Source organism: Homo sapiens, chromosome 14 (assembly GCF_000001405.40).
Source record: "Homo sapiens chromosome 14, GRCh38.p14 Primary Assembly".
Classification (NCBI taxonomy): Eukaryota; Metazoa; Chordata; class Mammalia; order Primates; family Hominidae; genus Homo; species Homo sapiens.
This window is the reverse complement of record NC_000014.9, coordinates 97859084-97869716: the sequence shown is the minus strand read 5'-3', so window position 1 is coordinate 97869716 and position 10633 is coordinate 97859084. Positions and strand designations below refer to the sequence as shown.

Sequence of the window (10633 nt, the reverse complement as noted above, 5' to 3'; positions counted from 1 at the left end):
TCTGCATCCCGACATGACATTGTGTCACTGAATGTGTTGTTTGAAAAAGGTTAGGGAGTTAGTTTGCAAGAAAATGAGAATTCTTAAATTCATTTGGAACCAGGTAAATATGCCCTTCCCAGTGGGACGGTGACCTTGGTGGCTTCTTTTATTACTCCTCTTGAAAAGACAGGCTCCTTCATGCTTCATTCGATTATGTTTTACCTTCTAAGAGAGGCAGCAATGTGCTGTGGTTGGAGTATGACTCTGGGGCTGATTATTCAACTCCTGGCTGTATTTCTTCCTCACTGGTGACCCAGGAACATTGCTTAGTCTATTTGGGCATCTCTGTTTCCTCATCTATAAAGTGAGAATAAAAATAGTACTGACCTCAGTGCCAGGCATACTGTTGAACATCATCTCAGCGGTTGCTCTTGTCATGATAGTGACATAGAGTCTTAGTGCTGGGCACTGTGGGAGACAAGATGGAACTCGTCACTGAAGTTGTTTGGGGTCTTTGGAGCAGCCAGGCATTTCCAGAACGGTGAGTGACACTTGCTATCACAGAGGCACACACTAAGCCTGTAAGAGCACACTTGCTCCAACTTCCTAATAAGGATGGGCAGCATCCAGCAGACACATCTGCCATGTCAGTCAAAGATGGGAACAAGGGGCCAGGCGCGGTGGCTCAGGCCTGTAATCCCAGCACTTTGGGAGGCAGAGGTGGGCAGATCACAAGGTCAGGAGATCGAGACCATCCTGGCTAACGCAGTGAAACCCCGTCTCTACTAAAAATACAAAAAAAAAAAAAAATTAGCCTGGCGTGGCGGCAGGCGCTTGTAGTCCCGGCTACTCGGGAGGCTGAGGCAGGAGAATGGCGTGAACCCGGGAGGCGGAGCTTGCAGTGAGCCGAGATCACGCCACTGCACTCCAGCCTGGGCAACAGAGCAAGACTCCATCTAAAAAAAAAAAAAAAAAAAAAAGATGGGAACAAGGTTCTCAGAGCTGCTCTTGGTCCCTCTGGGGTTGATCGGGCAGGCAGAAGCCCACAGGCTGAGGGAAGACTGCCAGTCCCAGCCGCTGCCAGAGGTTTTAGTGCTCACGGGCCCGTGAGGAAGAGGTGAAGCCACAGGGGTGAGGCCCAAGGGCAGCAGCCCAAGCCATTTAAAAAAAAGGCCAGAAGGCAAAGAGTGACTTGGGAGAGGTGGGGATAAAGAACGCAGACTATCATTTCCCCTGATTACTATCATGGTTACGTTTGGTAGTGGTGGTGCGCTAGCTGTTATTTTTATTATGTGTTGCCAGATCTTTCTTTTGTTTTGTTTTATTTTGTTTGTGTATTTGCTTTTGTGTTTTTTTGTTTGTTCGTCTTTTGAGACAGAGTCTCACTCTGTCACCCAGGCTGGAGTGTAGTGGCGCGATCCCTGCTCACTGCAAGCTCCACCTCCCGGGTTCACGCCATTCTCCTGCCTCAGCCTCCCGAGTAGCGGGGAGTACAGGTGCCCGCCACCACGCCTGGCTAATTTTTTGTAATTTTTTTAAGTAGAGACGGGGTTTTACCGTGTTATCCCGGATGGTCTCGATCTCCTGGCCTCGTGATCCGCCCGCCTCGGCCTCCCAAAGTGCTGGGATTACAGGCATGAGCCACCGCGCCTGGCCTGTGTTTGTTTTGTTTTTGAGACCGAGTCTTGCTCTGTTGCCCAGGCTGGAGTGCAGTGGTGCAATCTTGGCTCACCACAACCTCTGCCTCCTGGGTTCAAGCAAATCTCCTGCCTCATCCTCCAGAGTAGCTGGGACTAAAAGCGTGCATCACCATACTCGGCGAATTTTTGTGTTTTTGTATTTTTAGTAAAGACGAGTTTCATCATGTTGGCCAGGCTGGTTTCCAACTCCTGACCTCAAGTGATCCACCCGCCTCAGCCTCCCAAAGTGCTGGGATTACAGGCGTGAGCCACTGCACCCAGTCTCAGTTCTTTCTTAAATATCTAATGGTAAAATTCTGGATTCATCCATCAAAATATAACTCTTTTTATTTCCTTTGTTCTTATTTGCATCACGACTTTGCTGGTGGGTCATGCATGTACTGAGTCAGTCTGGTAGACTTTAGCATGTAGAATGACTCACCTCCAGCCTCCTGTCTCCAAGTCAGGAGCTCTGACAAACACGTGGCCCTCCATCTCCTGTCCTGTCTCCCCAAGTTAAGATGCCTCCTGTGTAGTACATGTTCCCTTTTCCTGTGCATTGAGATCTCTCATAATAATGCTGTGTTTGGTGTTGGCCTCTCTGATATGTATGTTTTCTCCACCTCCTGTCTGGAATATGCAGTTATACCTTCCATGTGTCTCCTTCCATCTCATTCCACAGCACCCATTGCTCTTTGACTGGACCACACTGTGAATTTGCTCTACGCAGCAAGTGAGCACTCGGCTTGTTGGACCAACCTTTAGAACTGGTATATTTAATAGAAGGTCATGTTGGATTTGTGCACCCAAAGTCTCTATGCCATCCTCTTATACAACAGAAGAATTTCTAAATGTTTCTGCAGACATCTCCAAGTGAAACTGCTTTTAAAAGACATCATCGAAGAGACTGTCATTAAACCATGATTAGGCTTGGTTGGAAAGATTATAGTTTATTAGCCCATCTGATGGTTCTGACTCAGAGAGGGCTCCCTAAGTCCACCTGAATGTAGGAAACTTTGCCTGCCCTAGAGTGATACTACGGGTAGCATCATTTGATCTGTCGAGACTTGGCATCCTAAAATATTCATTTCATATCAGAAGTGATGTATTTTCAAGGGATGTGCGTGGTTAAGAACTGCCAGCATTGACTTTCAATTTAACTGCATAAAGAATGTCAGGTCCATGTGACACAGTCATCATCCTCTTCATTGTAATGCAACTTCGTGGCATAAATGACATCATTGGTATGTGAGTTTCCATGCAAATAATGTCATTTGAATCCTTTTAACAGAAGGTAATGACACAAGAACTCCCAGAGCCGAGGGAACAGTCTTGAAATGAAGACTTTCAAGTGACAACAATCAAGTTGTGACTTGCTTATTTTTCCTCTTCTAATTTCTCCTCTTTTTTCTGATGATGAGATGGCACTTAGGGGAAAAACCAGGTTGAGACTTGGGGCTATGGAAGCCCTTAGTCCTCTCTTAAACAGCTCCTATGCTGGTATAGAACTAGGACTTTTTGTGATCCAAGAACTAGGAAGTCCATTTTATCCCTTTTGATCCTTCCCCTGGGCTGCAAGGTAAGCAAGGACTTCTTTCTATCCAGATTTCATGGCGTGGAATGCCAAGGCTCAGGGCAATGATGTAATCATCATGTGGTGATGATACTGCTGAGAGTCACTGTTTGTTGTTAGTTGTGAACTCACCACGAGCCAATCATTGTTCTAGTGTATTAATTCATTAAATCCTCCTCCAATCCCAGAAACCCAAAGCAGTAGATTTTATTATTGCTCATAGAAGCAGACAGAGGCAATGTGACTTAACCAGGACCACCAGCCAGGAAAGCCAGGCATGTGGGAGATCTTGTCACCTGTACTTGAATCTCGTGGTACTTCATTACCATTCTTCTTTAGAGAAAAAAAATTTGCTGCCAAGTCATACACATGCCTTCCTGCATGTTTGGATCAATCAGCTATTGGCTCAAGTAGTTTGGACACCAAATCTCAAATTCCAGGGTAGGGCCCGGAGCCAAGCCGACTGTCCCCGGCCTCAAGATCTGATGCAGACATAAGCAATGGGAAAAGGTGTCCAGTTTGTCTACATTTGTTGATCCCAGAGTAAGTCCTCATTTCTGAGCTGAATCTGTGACCCCACGATGAAGAGCACAAAAAAAATTAAAATGTAAAAACATGGCTTTGGGAATGTACGTGATGGGTCCACAAACTTTGAACCATGTACTTTGCATACAAACCTTCTGAATAACACTTCTTTTGTGTCTGGCTCAGTGTAGACAGGTGGCTCCCCCATTTCCCCTCCCCCTTTGCTCTGGGGGTGGCAGAAGATATGTGGCCATGACCTTGGCTGTCTGAGAATTTTCTCAGAGGAAAGACAGAAGCAGATGGAGGGTCTTGATATTTAATAAGAGCCTGACATTACCATGGCTTGCCTTAGAATGGGACACAGGGACCAAGAAGGAAGTGATTCTCAAAACTAAACCACCACCATTGACAAAAAAAACAACCCAAGGCATAGAACTTAACCATCATGCCCTGAGTTCAATATCCCTTGGCATTAGGAAGGAGAAAGTGGCTTGGGTCTTTGGAAAAATGAGCAGTGACATGTTGCTCCTCCTAATGATCTTGTGTTCTTGAAAATGCCAACAGAGAAAGGGGAAGACAGAACCCTCTACATGTAGTGCAAGGATCCTCAGAGACACTCTGCTCCCCAATACACTTGACCTTTTGGCTGAAGTTATTGCAGCCCAGAAGAAAAACTGATGTGGTCCTGTTCCAAGGAGTATCGTGACATGATCTTCAATGCCACATCTTACAACTCTAGTCCTCTTTTTATGGGATAACTCCTTTCTGTTTTCACTTCATAAAGACAAAATATTAAGCTTCAAAAAAGTCCAGCAAAAGTATGAAATGTAAAGTGCAGGCAATACTCATGTGAGAAGTAAGACCACTTGCATCAAATGCTGTTGCAGGAGTCATTGCCAGGGGGTGCTGAGCGGGGGGAAAGAATCTTCAGGAGGCTGGCCTAGCTTGAATCCTGCAGCATGCAAGCCAGGGCCCTGGGCTCACCATTGAAATCTCAGAGCCGCAGTTTCTTCTTATCTGAAACAAGGTTGCTGATATGGATATGCATCTTCAATTTTGGTTGTGAGATCAAATGCATTTATGAACAATAGGACAGTATCTACTACATTGTTACATGCTCAGTAAGTGATGTCTACTTACATGAGACTGATTTCTTCGTAAACGTCCACTCCTGTCAAATGCAAAAGAATTCAATAGCCAGGAGATGCATTTTACATAAAATAGCTCCACATGCATTAACTCAAGTGTTTTGCAATGTTTGCCCCTAGAAAAGAAAAATAAGTCTTTTTTTCCCCAAGATACTAGCCCCTGTCAAAGACAGCTCAAGGCTGGTGCTTCCCTGTTTTATGGCATTTTATCTTTCTGTGCACTCACTAAACCCAAAAGCTAGCTTACTTACCTAACACCTGAGGATCTTAAAACATTTTAGATATTAGATTAATTATATTTCTGAATTTGTACTAGAAGGTATCAGGAAACATATAAGAGGCACAGGATTGGGGCTCCTTGGTTTGAGATGAACTTGGGGCCTGACACTTGGGGTGTCATATCTCACGGGATTGAATCTAGGTCTGTTTTAACTAACTCGGTAACTTACGTCAAACTCATTGAACTTTGTTCGCTCTCACTTACTTGGTCTATAAAATGGAAAGAGTTGGTTGTTGACATTTGAAGGGTCTTTTGTAGCTCTGATCTCAGTTTTTCTTGTGCCTCATCCCTTCCCCTTCTCTTCCTTTCCTGAATCTAGTTGCCCTCTCAGGCCCAGCTCAGGCCCTTACTGCCCTGCCCACCACCTCAGACGTCCTCCTGCCTCTTAGCTGCACCCCAAGATCTTTCTGCTTTGCTCCAGATTCTATTATAGACTCTTAGGACCAGTTCTGTTTTGTTTGACTTGTCTTGCACTGTTTATTGATTTCCTTTTTTGACTGTGAACTGATTTCCAGATCCTTGGCCCCAACTTCCAGCTGTGGCAACTGACAACTAACAACTGCGGGGTCTTCTGATCCCATCCTGATTCTCCTCCTCAGTTGCCACCTACTCAGAGGGCTGTGATGAGGGTCAGACAAGATGATGCCCCAGTATACTTGGTAACAAGTTAAGCTATGGGGCCCAACAACTTTCCTTACTAACACCTGGGACTTCTCAAGTCTGTGAGTGCATTCACACATCATGAGAACACCCTACAGGCTAATTGAATACCCAGGGCCTGCCTTTGCTGGTGTTAAAGCAGCAACTTGGTGTGGCCATGCAAATTATTCCAGGCTGTTCTGAAGCTCTGATTTATGGTTATATGTGTTTTTTATAAGTCCTCTAAATTGAGAAATATATTTATTATTATTTACTAAGTAAAGCTCTTTTTTATATACACATTTTTTTACCATGAAGACTCCTGTGGAAATTATGAAAATGGAGTATAATTATTATTTGATGTGAACACAGTCTTCTACCAGACCTAAAGTTAAAAAAAATGTAAAAATTCTTTGTCTCTGACGAAAGTGCCCATTTTCTTATGACTTGAGTCTGCATTAGAGATACATTTATTTGGATTTTTAAAATTCAATCTTTCTGGACTTCTGTGGCTGAAGTCCACTTGCAATTTGAAATGCCACCAGCACCTCTCTTTTTTTCATAATTGATCTGCTTCCAGATTCAAAATTTTGTTTCAGCCATACCAGCGTCTGGTGGGGGACACACACCCTAAATCATAGCATGCCTGTCATCTGACCCTTTCTCCGCCAGTCTGCTGGAAATCCCGTGCAAGCTTCTTTCCCTAACCTGGGATCAGACAGTGTTTCCCACCCAAATTTGATTAAACGTGCCCTCCCTTGCTGTTGTCCATATGGCACCAAAATGCGGGCTGCCTTTCTCATTTTTCCAGACTGTGGGGTCAGACGGTGCCCAGACAGGCAAATAATAGTCAAATTATACAGGAAGTTGTCAAAGGAGTCCGAACACAGACAGAGGAAATCTCTGACCCCACGACAGGTCAAAGGTCTGGTTCAAGTTTCTCCTTCTTAATCTGTCACCACAGCCAAATTAAAAGCAGCCCTTTGAATGAAACCATTTATGGAGTCTGCTTTTTTTTTTTTTTTTTTTGAAAGTTTTTCTTTTATTACAAGCTGAACTTTTTTTTTAATTGCACTAACAATTCTCATCTGAAAAAACATATTTATAATATTAAAAGAGTAAATATGTGTGTGTGAGTGTACGTATATGCACATATATATACACATACATATATAAAATATATATAGATGTGTATATATATGTTTTTGTTTCTCTCAGGAAACGGCCCAACTGAAGATATTTTCTTCCCACTAAATTTAGATGTAGACTTTTTTTTAGTCAGAAAAGGCACCAATAAATACAACTGTCTGCCTAACACACATCCATGCTTTGAACACCTCCCAGAGATCCTGAAAATATTTTAAGACCCATAGCAGGCTGTGAGAAAAAGAAAAACAAAAACAAAAAAGGTGGGATGTGGAGACATTGTTGCCCAAGAAAGACAGTAATGGCAAATGGCAATTCCCAAAAAATCATGTTTAAAAGCCAAAAGAATCTGTCATCATGCTCAAACAGTGAAGATGATCTTTAATGGTTCCTAAGCCTTTCCCTACAGTAACATGTCCCTGGTCTTTCTTTGCCCAGAGCAGAGAGGCATGAAGAAGGGAAACCTGTTCACTGTATTCCACAGCTTTTCTGTTTTCAGACTGACACCAGGAAAACCATCTTAGTAACTGAAAATGCAGAGGCCAAGGTGGGTGAATCACCTGAGGTCAGGAGTTCGAGACCAGCCTGACCAACATGGAGACGTCCTCTCTCTACTAAAAAAAAAAAACAAAAAATTAGCCAGGCGTGGTGGTGCCTGCCTTTAATCCCAGCTACTTGGGAGGCTGAGGCAGGGGAATCGCTTGAAACTGGGAGGTGGAGATTGTGGTGAGCCAAGATCGCGCCATTGCACTGCAGCCTGGGTGACAAGAATGAAACTCTGTCTCAAATAAGAAAAAAAAAAATGCAAAGCAAGCTTCAGTGTTTTCCCTTTTTCGTCTGATGTTTAAGTGGTAAGTGATGAAGGCTTTGGTGGTATTCCCTAGGAGGAGCTTTGTTGGAGGAAATGGGTGATGTCTTTGGGAGGGGCACTGTGAGAAGGAATAGCTCTTCAGGGTTCTTTCTTCCTCTGAGAAACAACTGAAAACCTTTGACATGAGACATGCACTCCATTAGAAGTACCAATGGTACCAATGAAATACTTAGAGGGGAGGGGTAGGTAGAATGGATACCCTACAAGGACAGGGATTGTGATCAGTTTTATTTCCTGATATGTCTCAAGCACCTAGGATAGTGACGGGCACATACCAGGTACTCAATAAATATTTGTTGATCATATATATATATGTGTGTGTGTGCATATATATATATATATGAACATTTTGTTTCCATCCAACAAATTTTACATATAGGTGTCAGTAAACTGCTAAGGGGCTATCAATATCCCTCTGGCATACACCAAAAGTAGACAGCAAGCTAAATTCTACTATACCAGATAAAAATACCTTGGGTTGCAAAGGATGGAAGACCAATAAGAAATCAATTGAACAGTTAGGAAATTCTTATTTTTACATTTAAAATTCTAGATCTAGTCAATGCAGGACTGGAACAGTAGCTCAATAATTCCATTGAAAACTCAGACTCTTTTTAATCTTTCTGTATTTTCCCTTCTAGCGTGGTAGCTACTACCACCTGATTATAAGAGTCCTGTCTTAGAACCCACCATCACATCTGCACACAAAGTGGAAAGAATGAAAAATGATTGGGAGTAACCACATCTTTCCCTTTTATTAGAAAACCTAACCCCTTCCCAGAAGTCCCTAGCAGATCCCTGCTTTTTGTCATTAATCTGAATATTTATATGGCAATCCGTATTGGCTTCCTGTGACTGCTGTAATAAAGTACCACAAACTAGGAGGCTTCAAACAAAAGTAATTTATTGTCTCACAGGTTTGGAGGCCAGAGGTCTGAAATCAAACATCAGTAGAGCTGCACTCCCTCCAAAGCCTCTAGGGGAGGATCCATCCTTACCTCTTCCAGCTTCTGGTAGCCCCAGACATTCTTGACTCATGGAAGCATCACTCCAATCTCTACAGCTTCTTCTTGTGACCATCTGTCTTCTGTGTCTTCACATCACCTCCTATCTGTATATCTCCATGTCCAAATTCCCATCTTCTTATAAGAACCCAGATCATTTTGAATTAAGGATCTATCCTATTCCAGTATGACTTCATCTTAACTGATACTATCCTCAACAGTCCTATTTCCAAATAAGGTGACATTCTCAGGTGCTGGGGGTTAGGACTTCAGCATATGTTTTTGGGTGACACAATTTAACACATAACATCACCCTTAGCCTCAAGGGAAGCTGTCAAAGTGAAATGTTATCTTCGTAAGCCTTTATAGTGGAATGTGTTAGGAGAAGGGGATTGAAAAAGATTTGGGGTTGGCCAATGAGCAGTATTTGTCTTGCCTCTTTCTCACCCACAGGAGACAGCATGGTGGATGGAAGGGAAATGAGCTTCACCATCACAAAGGTGACTTTCAATAAGCTTTAAACAAATGTTCATTTCAGACACCCACAGTGTACCTATTATTACATTACTCCTGACACGCCTCTGAAGACATCAATGTAGCCCATGTAGTTGAGATCTTTTTTATGTAAGAATGGGGCAGGATTCGGAAACTAGCCCCCTTGGTCCTACTTGGAAATATCTTTACCTAGCTGAAGGAAAAGGGTAAAATAAGAAGTGACTTCTTATCTGAAAAATCCAGGGTAAGTTCAAAGGAGAGTGGGGGGTTAACCCATAGTTATTGACATATTAAAATGACACAGTTCATTTGCAGAAATGAACATTCAAGCCTGAGACATTTAAGACACTGGAGATTTTATCCTTTGCCACAACCAACCTTCCCACCAAATAATGATCTCACTGTATTTCTTCTGCAGATAAAATTTATCATCAGCAATCTACTTCCATAAGCCAATAAGTGGATTATTTATAAATGAAAATATTCTCAAAATATTGTCATACTAAGCTATCATGCATAGAGCCGTGGAATTTTAGCACTTGTAGTAATCTATGATTTATTTTGCAACAGTTAGCTAATGTCACATAAATGCTGTGTGACAAACAACCTTAAAATCTCAGCAGCATATAATAAGCATGCGTTTAACTCATGAAAATGTCCATCAGCTGGGGGTAGGCTAGCTAATCTAGTTTGCACTTGTCTAGTTTGAATGGGGCTTATTCATTTGTCTGTGGCCAACTAGAGATCAACTGCCCTAGGTTAAGTACAGCTGCTTGTGACTGCTCCACAGGTCTCCATTCCCCTTCTGCAGCCAGCAAAGGAACCCAGGGATGTCTTCTCAATGCCACAGTAGAGATGAATGAAAGCAATCACTTTCTGTCTGCTGACATCACATCTACCAACATCTCATTGGTCAAACAAGTCCACTGTTCAAACCAAGAGTCAAGATGGAAAGGAAGGAGGGCTTCCCTACCCTCAGTAAGCAGGCCCCGCAAAATCACATAGCAAAAGACCTGGTTACAGGGAAGGATGACTAATTGGGACTATTAATGCTTTGGACTGCAGTCTTAGATACTTCCTCATATGCTATAAGAACACCATGAATGTTAAGTTAAGGAAATTACTAAAATTCATAGGTGAAGAAGTGAGCCCAATTCAGTTGATTGATGGATACCATATCATAGAACAAGTTAAGGAAAGTAATTTATACTTTTTTAACAAGATAATATGTATCTCATCTATACTTCCTCTGGCTTATTAAGCTGGTTGGACCAGGCAAACTTTAACACTG

At 42.7% G+C, this 10633-nt stretch overlaps 1 annotated feature.

Moving 5' to 3' along the window:
• Positions 1070-1245: a silencer, noted in NCBI's record as "fragment chr14:98334809-98334984 (GRCh37/hg19 assembly coordinates)". NCBI's record gives its function as "represses an EF-1alpha promoter that drives an FKBP-Casp9 reporter gene in an ReSE screen in HepG2 liver carcinoma cells {active_cell/tissue: HepG2}" and the evidence as "EXISTENCE:reporter gene assay evidence [ECO:0000049][PMID:32094911]".